The sequence below is a fragment of the Homo sapiens genome, chromosome 1 (assembly GCF_000001405.40).
Source record: "Homo sapiens chromosome 1, GRCh38.p14 Primary Assembly".
NCBI lineage: Eukaryota > Metazoa > Chordata > Mammalia > Primates > Hominidae > Homo > Homo sapiens.
Window position 1 is genome coordinate 208969678 of NC_000001.11, and position 18754 is coordinate 208988431.

At 38.6% G+C, this 18754-nt stretch overlaps 2 long non-coding RNA genes across 3 annotated transcripts in view; one reads left to right on the forward strand and one right to left on the reverse strand.

The window, feature by feature from the left end:
- The window catches only part of LOC107985255 (uncharacterized), a 313794-nt gene that overhangs the window by 150223 nt on the left and 144817 nt on the right, over positions 1-18754 (reverse strand). The window lies entirely within an intron of this gene.
- On the forward strand, positions 2777-5630 carry LINC01774 (long intergenic non-protein coding RNA 1774). The gene is made up of 2 exons (NR_146915.1): positions 2777-3099; positions 5359-5630. It is a non-coding gene; the product is annotated as a long intergenic non-protein coding RNA 1774 (long non-coding RNA).

Consider the following 18754-nt stretch of genomic DNA (forward strand, 5'->3'; position numbering starts at 1 on the left):
GAACTTAGGCTTGGAATGCACAGACACATCAGATCATGAGGATGGGGCATATACATGGAGCAGCAGGACCCTCTGCCTCTAGTCCCTGTTTTCCTTAAATTGCCCCTGCAACAATCAGCATCCCAGCTATACTAACAGGGTGGGAAGCTTGGTCAAGGAGCTGTAATCCTGGTGCTGTTGCTTTTCTAGACCACCTTAGACTGAAAAGAATTAATTTTTTTCTTCCTATTCTGCAAGTTGGAGGCTAGAGAGGAAAATTGCAGGAGTTATAGATGAAACAAAGAAGATTAATTTTTCCAAGTTGTCATGAGAGTTGATTTTATGACTCTATCTACACAACCAAAGAGGGTGGTTTGCACAAAGTGCTTTCAGAAATCATAACAAAGAAATAATCACAGACAGGGAAGTGATGGATCAGAGAGCAAGCCTCTGAAAACACTGTCTAACTTTTTACTTCCCGGAGAGAGGGTGTTGCTCCTAAAAGATGAAAAAAACGCCACCTGAGTCCCCAGAACCAGCAGCATGAAAGGAAAATGGTGGCAAAGAAAGCAGCTCAGTCCTGAGAGGCAGTTCTGGGACACTGTATTGGACCAGACCAAAAAGTTATGAGGGAGAGAGGTAGAAAATTGTTCAGAAAAGAGAAGTGGTACTGCAGTAGCTGGGGAGCAGGGTGCGGCTGGATTGGGAAAAGCCTGGGGTGAAGGAGCTGCAGAGGTTCTTAGGAGTCAGGGAGAGAAAACGAGACTTGATGCAAGAGGAAATAGAAAGTGGCCAGGTGCGGTGGCTCACACCTGTAATCCCAGCACTTTGGGAGGCTGAGGAGGGCAGATCACCTGAGGTCAGGAGTTCAAGGCCAGCCTGGCCAACATGGCAAAACCCTGTCTCTACTAAAAATACAAAAATTAACTGGGCGTGGTGGCGGGCACCTGTAATCCCAGCTACTCGGGAAGCTGAGGCAGGAGAATTGCTTGAACCCAGGAGGCAGAGGTTGCAATGAGCCAAGATCGTGCCACTGCGTTGTAGCCTGGGTGACAAGAGCAAAACTCCCTCACACACACACACACACAAAGTGAAAAGTGAGCAGAGTTTTTACTATCAGAAGACAATCAGGACAAAATAAGCATTAAGGAAGTGTATGCTGCTGTGGGTCGAAGAGAGGAAAATGCAGACTGTAGGGTCTCTGACAGAATTCCTGGGGAGAACTGATATGACCTCCAGGAGGGTAAAAACAGTAGAAGGGGAAAAGAGGCCACATACATTTCAGAAAATGATGTCAGATGCTGTAGGAAGGTAGCGATCAGGAAGCAAAATGAGTAGACAATGACTTTGTGGGTTTAAGTGTCCTCAGTAGATAGGATACTGGAGAAGGAACTGATTGTGACTTTTTTTGTGGCGAGGGTAGAGGCCTGGAAAATGATTGTGCTGAATTTGAAGTGATGGCCAAAAACCAAACTTTGTTTAATGAGGTAAATATGTTTAGAGTGCATGGATGTAGTCCAGGTCAGAGATCAGCAAAAATGTGCAGACCACCCTCGTGCGCAGATCTGCGGGACTACAGATTCCATAGCATTCTTCTTCCTCCGAGCTCACCAGGCTTCCTGCAGTGTTCTCCTTTCTTCCTTGTGGAATTATTTGTGGATAGGAATCTTGTGGAATTATTAAAACAGTTTAAAACATGAAGACTGGAAAACAGAAAACTTCAGCTATATGTCCCCAAATCACAGAGTCTCCGTGGGAGAGAGACTAAAATTAGACTTCCTTGATCTCCTATTACATTCTTTCATAAGATCACTTGCCGATCAAAAAAATACCTTTATTATGCAAACAGTGAGAAAAGAGTTAGAGAAAAAAACTATTCTTTTCGTAGTTTAATGTTGATGAAAGCACTTCTGACCAGAACTAAAGTCACTGCTACAAAGAGAACAGTCCCAGAATGCAGACAAAGCTAGGTCAATGAGACATGGGTTTAATTGTCTATATTTTGTTAACTGCACATTTTGCCTCCGTAAATGCTGCTGTTGCCCCACTTACAGGGTGCAGCACTCTCTCCTGTGAATTTCTCACTGGGTTAAGGAAGACAGTATCTGAATCTCTAATCTCTGATAGGTCATACAGTCACCCACTGTAGGCAATAGTCCCCTAAGGGGTCCCAGTCTCTCAGTATTGGATTCAGAAACCGTGTGACTGCAATTTAGCCATAAAAGTGATCCTGACTTTTTCATGAGCACAGAGCAGTCTGTGTGAAGGGTTAAGCTGGCTCGATTGGCTACATGTCCTAGTTAGCCGGAATATGGTAGGCGTTCAAGGTCTGTTAAACTGAAGAATAGGATTCTGTATGGCAGATATTAAACTGAGTGTGTTATGCAGATTATCTCATTTATAAGAATCACATAAGGTAGTGATTTGCCTCCAAATTTTTCAGCTGAGATCAAGACCCAGAAAGACTGCCTAACTTGGCCATGGTCCTATAAATAAACTTAGGTTGTCTACCACAAAGACTCCATCTTTCCACCATCCCAAGTTACCTCACATGCTCCTGGTCAGACAGATCATCCTACATTCAAATGAATGTAGATAAAAATGTCTCTGATATATTCTTTTCTTGAGTGAGGGTTTAGAAAAAGTGCAGGTTTGTGCTCAAAAATACCTATGTGAACAAATAGGAAGCAATAAAATGGGGCTCTGTAGCCAATCCATAGTTGGTGATGTAATAATCGCCTTTGTAAATTCACAGATTCTTGTATTTGGACAAACAATTGTTTGACCATGGGAAGATACACTCCCAACATGTAGGTGGCCTCATCAGAAGGTAAAAACTGAAGAAAAAAATCATTCAAACTCCCATATACTAGATCTTTCTCATTTAATCTTGAGGTTTCCATGTTGAGAGGAGTGAAAGGAGATTTCTGTACCCATTAGCCAAGATTGTCTGAAACAAATCCCAGGAAGATGTTTTGAAAGAAGAATACATAAGCCTTATGACTCAGTTCTCAGTAGCTTCTTCAGTATCTTTCTTTTAAAATATCATTTTAAAGTCTTGCATTATAGCACTAAAAAAGCTAAAAGAATGCTAAAATTGCACTAAATCCAACCACGCCAGTAAGTACAGCTATTTCCATTTATTCCTATTAGGAACTTGTGCATTCAAAAACATAATTTTATATCATTTAAACCATAGTATAGGTACAATTAGATTGTTTAACCTAAAATTACACAATAAATATTTTCTGTGTTACAAAATAAGCCTCAAATCTATGATTTTAATGGCTGCATAATATAGTATTATAGTGCATGATATTGTCATCTATTTAACCATTCCTATACTGTTCAAATTGTTTCCAATTTCTCAGTATTGAAAACAATGCTAAAATGAAGACTCTTCATGTCCACAGCTTTTTCCTTCTTTAAGACTATTTTCTTAGGTTATATTGCCAGAAGTATGATTATAGAGTCAATTTCATATATTACAGAGTTTTTGATTCCAACTGATGTATTTCTTTCTAAAAATATCCTACTATTATAATATTGCTGTCTTCTGAGTGTATGTAAAACTTTCACCAAGATCTCACTGTTACTGTTACTGTGCAGAATTCCTATTTGGAAGCCCTAAACCCCAATGTGATAGTATTTGGAAATGAGGCCTTTGAGAGGTAATTAGGTTTCGATGAGGTCATGAGGATTGGGTCCCTATAGTGGGATTAGTGCCCTTACTTCTAAAAATAAAAAAAAATAAAAATAAAAGACTCCAAACAGCTTGCTTCTCTGTCTCCAACATGTGAAGATACAATGAGCAGAGAGCCATCTGCAAGCCAGCAAGACAGCCCTCACCAGAAAGAGAATCTGCTGCCACCATGATCTTGGACTTCCAAGACTCCAGAACTGTGATAAACAAATATCTGTTGTTAAGCCACCTGGTCTATGGCATTTTATTACAGCAGCCTGAGCTGACTAATATGCATTATATTTTCTGTTTTCAAATCTGGTTGGTATAAAACCTTATTCCCTTTTCATTATTTGACTGACCCATTTGAACTCTAATCACATATTTACCTGTTACTTCAATTTATATATAACGTTTCAATGTCTCTATTTGTAAGTGCAATTGAAAGTTGACAGAGGCTTCCGTGGGGATAAAATGAACAGTGGTACAAACTGGCCTTTATGGATAGAGATAGTATCTGTGAAGTGGGGGAGCAGGAGCGGGACAAAGGATTTAACTTATATTTTCTTACCTTATTAATTCATAATTTTTGAGCATCTGCAATGTGGTAGGTATTGTAGTAGGTGCATAGAAACAGAACAGCAGAGAAAAATAGGTTTCCTGCTCTCACATACCTTACAATATAGTGAGGGAATCAAATAAGAAAAAAAGGAAATTATAATACCACATGAGAAGTTTGTGTTGAAAATAAGTTCAGGGACTAAGGAAGCACAGTGAGGGAGGGGCCAAATCAGGTATTAAAAGGGAAAGGAAGGCATTCAGTTAGAGGTGACATCAAAATGGAAACTGGGCAAGCTAAAGTTGGAAAGATGAAGAGGAAAGCAGGGTGTGGTGGCTTACACCTGTAATTTTACCTACTCAGGAAGCTGAGGTGAGAGAAACCCTTGAGCCCAGGAGTTTGAGACCAGCCTGAGCAACATAGCAAGACCCCATCTCTAAAAACATATATACATACATACATACAACATAATAAATAAAACTAGCCAGGTGTGGTGGCACATGCCTGTAGTCCCAGCTACTAGGGAGGCTGAGGTGGAAGGCTTGAGTCCAGGAGTTTGAGGCTTCAGTGAGCCATGATCATGCCACTGCACTCAGACTGGGTGACAGGATGAGACCCTATCTCTAAAAAGTAAGAAAGAAAGATGAAACAGGAGCATGGAAGAAGACAGGATATAATGGGGGGACTAGAGAGAGTTCTAAGTAGAGGCAGATAACATGGGCAAATGCTCAGAAGCAAAAGAGAGCTAGCCTAAGTATGGAAAGGAATACCATAATATGGCTTACCAGAGCTTCCAGCAATCAAATATGGGTGAGATGATTCCCAGATCCTTTATCCCACTCCCGCCCCACACCCTCATGGATGCCATCTCTATCTGTAGAGGCCAAACTGCACCACTGTTCATTTTATCCCTACATAGCAACCTCTGCCAATTTTCAATTGCACTTGCAAATGGAGAAATTGAAAACCTGTGTTGCTTCTGGGTTGATATGGAGTGATAAGCCGGGAGCATCTGACTGGGCATGTTTTTCTTCATGTGTTGGAACAGAAAAGAATCTGCATAGATAGGCAGCATACAACAAATCACAAACCCAGCAGTGACTATAAAAGCATGGTCTTTCTTGTGTCTCCACCCCAGGCAAGCCTGCTCAATTCATTTCTTCAGACATCACTCCGAAATTGCCAGAGTGGTTTCCCACTGACAGACTTCATCGCTGTACTGCACATCTCTTCACTACAAATGGGGAGATGAGACAGAGACAAAAAGAGAAATGGATTTACTGTGCTGGGGAAGTTAAGCACACACTGGGTTGGAATTTCATTTCCACTGAATTAGAAGCTCTGGCTCAGCACGGATGACACAGTGATGCTCCTTTAATAACACAAAATAAATAAAACATGGAAAAGGTTTTCCAGTTTGTTTTGGGGGATGTTCATGCACACATTCTCTGCCTCTCTCTCTCCAGGAACATTGGACACTCTCTTATTGCCTTTGTGCTACTTCAAAGCTGCAAAGATTGACCTTAGCCTTAAATAAAGTCAGAAAATGCTTGAATCCCTGGGGAAACAACCCATAAAGCCTCAACAAATCCATCATTTTATCAAGTCCCAAGACCTGGGGAGAACAGACAACGCATCAAGCTTATAGCACCTTGGGTTGGGTGATCCTTGGGACACATCTGCTCTGTGAGACTAGAGATGTGCCTGAGAGAGGACAGGTAAGTCCTGTCTGAGCAGCATTCTCCTGCGGGCCCAGCACAGCTTCAGGAGCTCCTATGCAGGTCAAGGGTTGTTGTGGTGGTGTGGCCTGGCAAAAATTACAATGTAATTTCTAATCCTGCCCTTTGCTCATTCCAGCCCCAGGGAGGTCACCATTTTTCAGGTGTTCTCACCTTATCTCAAGCTCATTCCCCAACTAGCAAAGGGATTTTGAAAGGCATTGTAAAATACAGTGACTTTCTGGGTTTGGGGTGTTATTTTTTTGCTTTAACATAAGATATCTTTTAAATACTGTATATGTGTTACTGATAGAAGGGTGTTTTATGTAAGGTACTCCTTAAAAACCCAATATTCAACAACTTTCACCAAGAGGTGTACCACTATCACTTACCAACTTTGAGGCACTGCCTCCTTTAACCATTTTCTGACCTTATTTTCTCCCGATATGATTGACCAGGTATTTTGCTGTACTCAACAAGTCCTTTTTTTTTTAAATAGCACTATAACCCTTTCTTGAATTGATCCATTTACATGTCTAACTTTCCTACTAAACTATAAACTACTTGTGGCTGGTTGCATTTTCCAACAATGACCATGAAAGTATCTCTTATTATTCTACAGTGTGACCTGACACACCTTCCATTAAGAGATAGGATCTATGTCCTCTTCCTTGGACTCTAGCTGGGCTTGTGACTTGCATGTAACCAATACAACGCAGTGGAGTGATTCTGTATGACTTCTAAGAAAAAGTCAGAAAAGATTATACAACTTTCTTACAGTTAGGACATCCTCCTTTGGAATCACATAGGAAGTTCGACTACTGCATGGCCACCATGCAGCGAGGAAGCCCAAGCACATAAGAGGCCACATGAATGCTGACAAACAGCCCCAGCTGATGTCCCAGCCCACTGAGTTAATCTACTGCCAGAAATATGACTGCCAATTATACCTTCACATGGTGTTAGCTCTCAGCCATCTGGTCACCCCCAGCCTTGAGTTTTGTCAGCTGAGGCCAGACATTGTAAAGGAGAGCCACACTATCCTCACCATACCCTCTCTGAATTCCTGATCCACAGAATCTGTGAGCAAAATGTATAAAGCATGGCACTTTAAGGAGGTTCATTATAAAGCACTAGTTAACTAGAATACTACCAAGATAGAAACTATACCATCTATGTTTGTATTCTTAAAGTAAGGGTTCAATAAATGTTGATTGTATGAATGAATGCATATTGTTAAACAAACAAAAAAGCATGTGCAATCATGAACCCAGATGTTACATGTGCTAAGAGTAAACCTCACAACAAAGAACATCTTCTACAATGTTAAGCCTTAGGGGAACTGGGAATAAAAGCTAAAATATTATTAGAACTTATCAAACAAATCTGCCTGCTGCTGGTCAGAAATAGGCCTTGCTTTAGGGTGATACATATTTGCAGCTTCAAAAGAATGTTCTTTGTTGATATTTAATAATGTATAGATTCCTCACTTTGCAGTTTATCTTATGGTTTCTTTAATTTGGGTTGGGATTGCAAAGGAGCAGAGTGAAAATCAGGTATGATACATTTCTCATCTCTCTTGGATACATTCCCAGAGGTTCAGACTGAAATGACTCAAGGTCTTTTTCTATAAAAACAATTTTGAAACAGATCACTAACTCTTTGGTATTCACTGATTGAACAATAAAAATATAAGTTTTCTTTTAAAGGGTGAGAGGGATAAAGGAAGAGAAGAAAGAAAGAGATCCAGTTAATCACATTAGTTTCTGAACACATCCCTGTGAAGTGATAGGAATTGAGGACAAAGGAGAGAAACAAAAATGAAAAAAAACACAACTGCCACAAGCAGTTAGGACTACGGTTTTGTTTTGTATTGTTTAAATTTTTTTTCTCATTCCCTTTACCCTGGGCTAATTAGACACTGGACTGCATCTAGTGAGAATGGGCTAGGAGACTTTTGTACTTGGGATTCTGAGTTGGACCACTGCTCCTATGTAAACTTCTGTAACTGGGGCTATGGATTCTGTGATGTTGGGGAACTAGTCTGCTAGGTAGAACAAAGGTTTTATTTGCTGCATGGCAGTTTCATTAAATAAATCATACATTCATGCAGGCAAAGGAAATTAACAAGAAACTTTGCCTAGGAGGTTAGACATATTCTGCCGCACTTCAAATAAACTGGAGTGCACTTTGCAATTCAGAAGATGTATATATGCTGGAATGTGCAAAGGCAACACTATTTTATTTACACATATATATAGTGATAGCTGTATACAAATATTTGTGTACATATATGCATATGCATACAAATTTAATCTTTATGTGTATATACATTTTTAATCTTCTTTACAATGGAGAGCTAAAAAAAATCTGTATTTCTTATGCTTGCAACACACCACAAGCCTGTGAATCATCTTTGTTCCTTTAACAGTCATCTAAGTGATGATGGGAGTTGTATGTGGTACTAGGAAGGCAAGGAAAACAAAACATGAATCCTGTTCTTGGGCACCTCAATTCTAATTGGATAATGGAGAACACTCAAGCTGGCCTTAAGGCAAATTGTAAATGGCCTTAAGGCGATATATCCCGTGATATCAGAATTGCAGTTAACTCAGGAAGCATTTTATTAAGCACCTATTATTGCCAGTACTGGGCTTAATGTTGGAATTACAAAAAGGATTAACAAAAGCCCTTCCCTCCAATACATTATAATACAAAAAAGGGAAATAGAAATGCAAACAAATAATTGTAATCCAGTGGGAGATGTGCAAGAATAGAAATTTGCATAACATGGAAGTCAGCATGCAGGAGGAAGGGATTAACTTTGACTGGAGTGTAAAAGAAGAGAAAGAGATGGCTGAAGGCATAGGAAAGCCTCAGTAGACAGTGACATTGAAGCTGGGTTTTGAAGAATAAATGGAAGGTTCCAGGGGGAAATCATTAGTGAGATATTTCATGTGGAGAAAGCAGGATATGAAGTGATATAGTGATACTATTTTACATAGCATGCTTTGTTCAGAGAACTTCAAATATTGTTCATCATTGCTGGAGTGAAAACAACGCGTGAATATGGCACAGGTTGAAGGCAAAGAGAATAAAGGAGAAAAGAAAATGAAGTGAAGTAAGTGGGAAAAAGGGCTGGAGAAGTAGGGAGGAAGGAAGCCATACATTCTTCTGAATGTAAATAGATGAATGGTAAAGCAGTGGATGAAGAATGTTGACTGTGATACCCATTGATACGGTTTGGCTCTGTGTTCCCAAACAAATCTCATGTCAAATGATAATTCCCGTGTGTCGAGGGAGGGACCTGTAATCCCCATATGTTGAGGGAGGGAGGTGACTGGATAATGGGGGCAGGTTCCCCCATGCTGTTCTCATGATAGTCAGTGAATTCGTACAAGATGTGATAATTTTATAAGGGTTTGGAAGTTTCTCCTTTGTTCTTTCCTGCTGCCTTGTGAAGCAGGTGCCTGCTTCCCCTTCTGCCATGACTGTAAGTTTCCTGAGGCCTTCCCAACCATGCCGAACTGTGAGTCAAGCTTCTTTCCTTTATAAACGACCCAGTCTTAGGGAAGCCCTTTGTAGCAGTGTGAAAACAGACTAATGCATCCATAAACAATCTTTCTCCCTCACCTTCAGGTAGCAAGGAGTTGGAATGCATCGCTAAGAGTTTGAAAACCAGTAACTCTAGAAGAGTGAGAAGCAGCAAGATGTTTATCCTGAAGAAGAAATGATTTAGTTCAACAACGTTGCTGTCTTCAAATATTTTCAGAAGAGCAATTAGATTTATTTCAGGCACCTTTAGAGGGCCGGACTAAGAATAATGAGTGAGAAGGAAGTCAAACGTACTTTGACTCCATAAAAGGCAGAACTTTCTAACAGTCAGAGCTGTCCAAAGATTTTCTGGGCTATGTTGAAAGTTGGTAAGCATCCTATAGCTGAAGTGTTCAAGCAGAGGCATGCATGTTCCAACTGTCAGGGATGTCGTCGAGGCAATTACTACTTTGAGAACATGTCACCTTTTTTCCCTAAGGTTACTTCCATGTCCAAGATTCCATGATGAAGGTCACAAACACAAATATATTTAAATATACTTAAGGATAACATGAATAAGTAAAGTGTTCACATGAGAAAATAGGGAGTTCAAGAGGTTGTGGCTAACTGTACACAGTATATAATAATGTTCACATTTCTTTAAAAAAAATAAAAGAAACTATATAGAAGTCAGACAAAACCAGTCTGTGGACCTAATTTGACCTGCTGGCCTTCAATTTGTACTTTCTATTTTACAAGTCTTGAGGTCTAGGTTCTGGTCTAAGTTCTGTGACTCATTGGCTTTCTATAATCCTTGATCCTAGGCCAGTTCTCCCATTGTAGATCAGTTTCCTCATCTCTTCCATGAGGGCCATAGATAATCTTTGAGTCAGGCCTCAGCTCTGATTTTTCTCCCTGCTGCAGGCAAAAGCAGATATCCAGGAGGACAGAATACAAGCTTGGTAGGCAGGAAGCGTTACTCTTGTGTGTGTCTTTACTGTTTAAAGTGTACTGTTTACTTACAGAGCTTTGTGTCAGAATGAATAGAGATGAGATCTTTGTAAGTATGGACTATGTCTTAATCATCTTTCTTGTTCCTTTATTCTATTTTTACTATTAAAAGTATAGTAAAATATACAGACAATAATCAACCCATGTACCTCCCACCAGAATATATTGTCATATGTGCATTATCTTTATATAATAAATATTAAATATGTGACTAAATCCTGGTATGTCTCTGAAGTCTTATTCACTTCCCTCCCTCTCCAGAAGCAACCATTGTTAAGTAAGTTTATGCCCTAGACTCACGTATTTCTACTTTGAGTACCATAAACAACACATAGTATTTTTTATGCTCTAATAACTTAAATAAATGGTGTAATATTCCACATATGTATAAGGACTACATAGTACTTCTTTCATTCAATAGTACAATCTTAGAGATCCATCCAATTTGATGCATACAAATTTAACTCATTAATTTTAATTGCTAAAGAGCATTATATCCTACTAATACATTGCAATTTATTTTTTTTGCTCCCTACACTCTTTCCGGTTCTCTATTTATAGTTCAAAATCACATTGAATATCCTTATACATGTTTCCTTTGCATGTGACTATATCTGGAAGGTGAAATTTCTGAGTCATCAGGTACATGCTGTGCCAATTTTACTAGATGCAGCCAACTTGTTTCCAAAGTGTGTGTACCAATCTATACTCCCTTCAGCAGGATATATGAATCCCCCTTTTTTGTCAAATCTGGTCAACATTTGGTATTTCTTAGACTTTTAAAAATTTGCCCATCTGATGGTTGAGAAACCTCACTGAGGTTTTAAATTGCATTTCCCTGATTAGTGAGGTTGAGCATATTTTCATATTTATTGGCAGTTCTGGCTTTCTCTTCCATGAATAACCTGCTGAAATCTTTTGCCTTCTGTTCAATTGAATGATCTGTCTTTTTCTTTTCTCTCTCTCTTTTTTTTGGAGTTACACTCTGGAGCCAATCATCATGAGTTCCCATTATAAATGTGCCGCTTTATAGCTATGTGTACTTGGCGATGTGACTTAACCTCACCATGGCTCACTTTCTTCAGCTCTAAAATGGAAAAAAAAAAGTAGTATCTCATAGGATTATTGTGGCAGTTAAGAGAGTTAATACATATTAACCTGTTAGAAGAGATCCTGGCATATAGTAACTGCTTAATAAAGGTTAGCTATTATTATCATCCTCAAGGAGGAAAAGTGTTCTTTATGTATTCCAGACTGATTCTTTGTCTATTAAGTATGTTACAAAAAATCTTCTTGTCTTTTAGGTTTGTAAACTTTTGTCATGCATGTATTTGAAATTTTAGTGTAAATTTATCAATTTTCTTTATAATTTGTTCTTTTTTCTATGTAAACATATTTTTCTTCACAGGATCATAAAGTTGTGCTCCTGTTTTAACTTTTACAACTTTTTTTTTAATTTAAGCCTTTATCTACCTTTGTTTTTATATAGAGGTAATTCTCTAATTTTCTTTTCATACAGATAAATTTTTTGGATTTTTGGGGGTTTTTTTGTTTGTTTGTTTTGTTTTTGTTTTTGTTTTTGTTTTTTTGAGATAGAGTCTCGCTCAGTCACTCAGGCTGAAATGTAGTGGTGCAGTCTTGGCTCACTGCAACCTCTGCCTCCCAGGTTCAAGTTATTCTCCTGTCTCAGCCTTCCAAGCAGCTAGGACTACAAGATAGAGCCACCATACCCAGAAAATTTTTATATTTTTAATAGAGATGAGGTTTTACCATGTTAGCCAGGCTCATCTTGAACTCCTGGCCTCAAGTGATCTGCCCACATCAGCTTCCCAAAGTGCTGGGATTACAGGCGTGAGCCACCACACCTGGTCTCATACAGATAACTATTTAAATAAATTTTGATTTGTGAAGCCACTTCTCTCATAAATCAAGTTCCCATATACCCCAGGGTCTATTCCTGAGCTCTTAAGTCTATCTAATTAACATATTTTTAACCCTGTAAAATACCACACTGTTTTAATTACTACAGCTTTAAATCAGTTCTTGAAATTCAGGAGAATAACTCCTCTTAGTTCTTGTTCTTTACTGTCCTGCCTATTCTTGAACATTTACTCATAAACAGGAATTTTAAAATAAGTCCATCATGGCTGGGCATGGTGGCTCACACCTGTAATCCCAGCACTTTGGGAGGCTGAGGCAAGAGGATCACTTGAGACCAGGAGCTTGAGGCCAGCCTGGCCAACGTGGTGAAACCCCATCTCTACTTAAAAATAGAAAAATTAGCTGAGCATGGTGGCACCTGCCTGTAATCCCATCTACTTGGGTGGCTGAGGCACGAGAATTACTTGAGCCTAGGAGGCAGAGGTTGCAGTGAGCTGAGATCGTGCCCCTGCACTCTAGCCTGGGTGATAGAGAGAGAGACTCTGTCTCTAAATAAATAAATAAATAAAATAAATCCATCAAATCCATGGAAAATAATTTCATTGGGATTTTTACTGGAATTACATTGAATTTATAGATCAATGTGGGAAATAATTTATAGCATATATTCATGATGTTGAACTTGCATATCCATAACCAAGCTCCTTTTTGACTTTGTATAGTTGTGTAATTTTCTTCATAAAAGTATTAAATACTATTTGTTAGATTATTTTTGCCCTAGGCACTGTGTAAATTTGAATGCAATTGTGAATGAGATCTTTAAAAAAATAACATTTTCTATTTTCCAATTATTGTTAAATAAAATCTCACTAATTATTTTTGTATGTTGATCTTATTTCTGGCAATCTTCCTGAACTTTTTAAATTCTAAATAGTTAGTCTATGAATTCTTTTTGCATTTTGTATGCAAACAATGATACCATCTGCAAATAACGATTGTGCTTCTTTTTTTCAAATAATTATATCACTTATTTCTTTTTATTGCATTTTTGAATTGGTTAAAACTTCCAGTAATTGCTACATAGAAGTGGTTTTAGTGAATAATTTATTGTCTTGAGTTTAATGTGAATGCTTCTAAAAATCTGACCATAAAGTATGGCATTTTCTGTGGGTTTGGGTACATGCTCTTTACAAAGTTAAGGAAGTTTTTTTTCCCCAGTACTAATGTACTGGTCTTTTCCTTAATTTATGAATGAATATTGACCTTATAAAATATTTTTCTACATTCGTTGAGATGCTCACGTTTTTGTCTTTTTTTTTCCATGTGTTGAATGAAGATTTATAGATCTTTTAAATGTTGACATATCTTTGTATACTTGGGATAATCTGTTTTATCCTGATGTACTATAAATCCAATTCTGGGTTTGCTAACATGTTATAATTTGTTCTTCCATGCTATAGTGAGATTGGACAATATATCTCATTTCTTATACTTCTTGTGCCTAATTTTGATATCAAATAATAGGTAGTTTACTCTCTTTATTCATTTGCTGAAAGAGATTTTATCAGAAAGGAATTATGAGCTTCTGATTTGTGGTAAAAACTTCTCTATAAAATTATGTGGGCTTGGTACCTTTTTAGGGAGAATTTTTGATTACTAATTAATTTTTGTTATAGATCATTATTTTTCTAATATAGGTTTGTGAAGGCCCAACTGTATTAATTATATTTTACTGTGTCTTATACTGTGGTAAGATGAAATGTTCTGTATGATATCAATTATTTGGACATTTTTTAGACCTTTTATAAACTAAAACGTGACCAACTTTTTAATAAATGATACATGCATATTTAAAAACCATATGTGCTCCTTACTCCTTACATAAGAATATAGTTATGTTGTATTACGGTGTGTTACATTATATTACCATAGAGAAAACAGCTATTTTATTCAAATCTTTAGCATCTTTACTAACATTGACTTCTTGATCTATCAGTTTCTAAAATAGGTGTTAAAATTTTTACACAAGTATTATGTATTTACAAATGTCTTCATGTAATTCTATCAGCACTTATTTCATAAATTTATAAATGTATGATATGGTTTGGCTGTGTCCCCACCCAAATCTCACCTTGAATTGTAAAAATCTCCACATGCCAAAGGTGGGGCCAGGGAGAGACAATTGAACCATTGGGGGAGTTTCCCCCATACTGTTCTCATGGTAGTGAATAAGTCTGACGGATCTGATGGTTTTATAAATGGGAGTTCCCTTGCACAAGTTCTCTTGACTGCTGCCATGTAAGACATGACTTTGCTCCTCCATCACCTTCTGCCATGATTGTGAGGCCTCCCCAGCCATGTAGAACTGTGTGAGTCAATTAAACCTCTTTCCTTTATAAATTACCCAGTCTAGGGTATGTCTTTATTAGCAGCATGAGAAGAGTAAGACTATATATATATATATATATAAATTCATGATAGTTATAGTTTCAGTTATAGTATCAGTATATAATGTTTGATACAGCTTAAGTTCTCTGAGAGGCAACCAGGAAGATGGTGATTAACATATAAGATGTTTATTAGGTGGGACTCCTGGGATCAAAACCTGTAGAAGAAAAGGAAAAAAAAAAACACGTTTGGGCAGAGGGAGAAGTTGAGCTGTGATGCAGTCTCAACAGAGACCTAAGATGACCCCATGAAGAGCTCTGGAGCTGGGATGGTCCTTTAGAGTTTGCCCAGTTAAGGCAAGGGTTCCAGGACTTTATACCCTCTGGACGATCAGTCACTAGATGTGGACTTCTCTGAAAGAAGTGTGATTTGGGGTGAGACAGTGTTTTTAGTAAAGGCAATCTCTCAGGAGAAGTTTACAGCTAAGGACTGCCTTTCATCAGCACTTCTAGAAGCTGGGGGAGTATGTCCTTAATTAGTAAAGAGGAATCTGGAGGCATATTATAGTACTCAACACAGACTACACCTTAAGTGCCTGGATTCACTTACTCATATAGGTTCTGGCAGTGACTCTTCTAACAATCCAGTGGAAAAACTTAGAAAAGAAAAAAAAATGTGATGATAAACTACAGTCCCCATCACTTTTGCTTATCTCAAGTCCAGAAATGATCTTTGTTATCTCCCTTCTCTACCACTTATTATAAATTTCCCTTACCCCCAGCTAGCACCTCTGGTGGTCTTGGAGACTTGCCTGGTGATGTGAACTAGATCTTCAACCATGTGCAGTCTAATTCCCTTCCTCATTACCATTACCTTTTCAGACCAGAGTTACTGTATTTGTGCAATTATTGTCAAAACGTGATATAGAATCACTAAAAGATACTTAAGTGTATTATCTGGCTGCTAAATATATTCCTAATGTTCTCATTGTGTAACAGCATCCTGACTTACTCCTGCCAAGACAGTGATTCATTTCCTTACCTGCTGACCCTTTGGCATGAGTTGCCCAAAGTGCTAGACAGGAGCCATAGCTGGGCCCTATTAAAATCTGGCAGATTTTCATATCATCTGGTGTTTAGGTCACATTAGTATTCCCAGATATGGTTCCCATAATGTGGAATATGCTGCCTTTGTAACCCAAAGAAACCTTCCAGGCATTTTGCTTCCTTCTTCATGCTGAGAATACAAATTTTGATAATTTGTTCTTTATTTGGGGAGGATGGGTGATTCTTATCATGCCATAAACACCGTACATCCGTAATTTTACTTATGTGCCAGGCCCTGAATATTCATAGGGTTTAACTCCAACTCTCTAGAGAATATGCTTCTTAGCAAATCCTCCAACTAGCATCTATATTTTGCTCATCTGGTTCCATTAGCATGTTGTCAATATAGTGAACAAATTTGACATTCTGTATGGATGTCTAAATGGTCTGTACCTCTTCATACTGTATTTAAACAAAGGGCAGAGGAGTTAACACAGCCTTGAAACAAACATGTAATTGATTCAGTTGTCCACTTTAAATGAAATTCTTTTCATTTCCTCTTCCTAATGATGAAAAAAATATATTTTCCAGAGCAACGGAAATATGGCTGCATACCATATATCTGATGACATGTTAATCTGCTCTAGCAAACATACCACATCTGCCACTGGGTCCGATACCTGGCTATGTTTGCAGTAGTCCACTGTAATAATATGTCTTGTTTTTGCAGAAATCAGATTGGTGAATTAAACAGAGACTGAAGGGGACCATCATTCCTGTATCCTTTAACAAACTGTAAAGGTGGCACTAATTTCAACCATTCATATTGGACAATTTTTTTTAAGTAACTATCTTGAAACAAGTATGGGGGATAAGCTGTTTTCACAGGCTTCTTCTTAACTTTTCCCCTAATCCTGTAGGCTGAAGATTCAACGTGGAGGTTGTGCCAACTACCAAGTATGTCTATTACAATTATTAATTGGGGTCTGCAGAAATGACCACTGGATGAGTTCACAGATACGGTAAACAGACTGTGGGCTGGACTTGGCTATCCCAGGTCCCCACTCTGACAGAAAAATCATGATGACACTTTGACCTCAATATCAACTTGGATTCTCTTTCCAACAGTCTTTAAAGTGTTTGGATATTCCACTTTCCCTAGGATACAGTTACCCAATAGAAGGCAGTAGGTCCCTTTGAGAAAAGGAAGTAGCCACTACCACATACATTTACCATGATTTTGCAGGGTTCCTCTAAAAGCGTCTCTTCTCATATCAATGAGTTCTGGGTATAAAAACTGGATATTGGACAGGGAATTGTAATTTTTATTGGAATGATGGCTCTCAGCCTTGTCATTATTATCCTTGAATTTGATGTTTGATTTTACAGATAGAATAGCACTACTGTTAGCTGTTGCTGTGGTTTGAATGTGTACCCCAAAGTTCATGTGTTGGAAACTTAATTCCCAATTCCAGTGTTGATGGCTGTCAGCCTTGTCATTATTATCCTTGAATTTGATGTTTGATTTTACAGATAGAATAGCACTACTGTTAGCTGTTGCTGTGATTTGAATGTGTTCCCCAAAGTTCATGTGTTGGAAACTTAATTCCCAATTCCAGTGTTGAGAGGTAGGACATTTAAGAGGTGACTAGGTCCTGAGGACTCTTCCCTCAAGATGGATTAAGGCTGTTATTGCAGGATTCGGTTTGTTATTGTGGGAGTAGATTCCTGATTAAAGGATGAGTTCATTCCCGTACCTCTTCCCACATCCTCTCTTTCATGCATGTGCACTCTTTTTTTTTTTTTTTTTTTTGAGACGGAGTCTTGCCCTGTCACCTAGGCTGGAGTGCAGTGGCGCAATCTCAGCTCACTGCAACCTCCACCTCCTGATTTCAAGCAATTCTCCTGCCTCAGCCTCCTGAGTAGCTGGAATTATAGGCAGGTGCCACCATGCCTGGCTAATTTTTGTATTTTTAGTAGAGATGGGGTTTCACCATATTGGTCAGGCTCATCTCGAACTCCTGACTTCAGGTGATCTGCTGCCTCCGCCTCCCAAAGTGCTGGGATTACAGGCATGAGCCACCGCACCCGGCCCACATTTCCTTTATTTCCTTTTTCTCCCCTTTCTACTGGTTTAGGAATTAAACATTGCATTCCTTCCTCCCTTTTTTGGTATTTGCCTTTATAATGCTAATGCACAAAGTTAACTAAATCTATGACTAATCAATATCTCTCTTATACGACTGAATTAGAGGAATATAGAGTAATTAAAGTCAATTTCTCGCTATCATCCATGATATTGTGTCATAGTTTGATTCTGCTTAGGACTGATACATGTCCCCACCCTTACGTACACATGTGATTCGTATATGCCCACAAACATTCATCATTCTACCACTGTGGCTTTGAGTTTCTTGTTCATTTCTGGGACTTTGTGATATTTCCTTCTTCCTGCTTTCAATTTCAGCTATACAGTTTAAGAAAAGGTTTGTGTTCTATCTAAGTCAGCATTTCTTTTTTTTTTTTTTTTTTTTTGAGATGGAGTCTCACTCTGTCACCCAGGCTGGAGTGCAGTGGCGAGATCTCAGCTCACTGCAAGCTCCGCCTCCCGGGTTCACATCATTCTCCTGCCTCAGCCTCCCAAGTATCTGGGACTACAGGCGCCCACCACCACACCTGGCTAATTTTTTTGTATTTTTAGTAGAGGCGGGGTTTCACTGTGTTAGCCAGGATGGTCTCGATCTCCTGACTTTGTGATCCGCCTACCTCGGCCTCCCAAAGTGCTGGGATTACAGGCGTGAGCCACCGCACCCGGCCTCTAAGTCAGCATTTCTATATATTTGGAGCAGAATGAAAGGTTGATTACTTCTGCTTGGCCACCACATTGATCAGAAGTTTCCTTTTATTAATCTTTGCTTTTTTTCAATTCTTGAAAGCTCTCTGGCACATAGAGGAT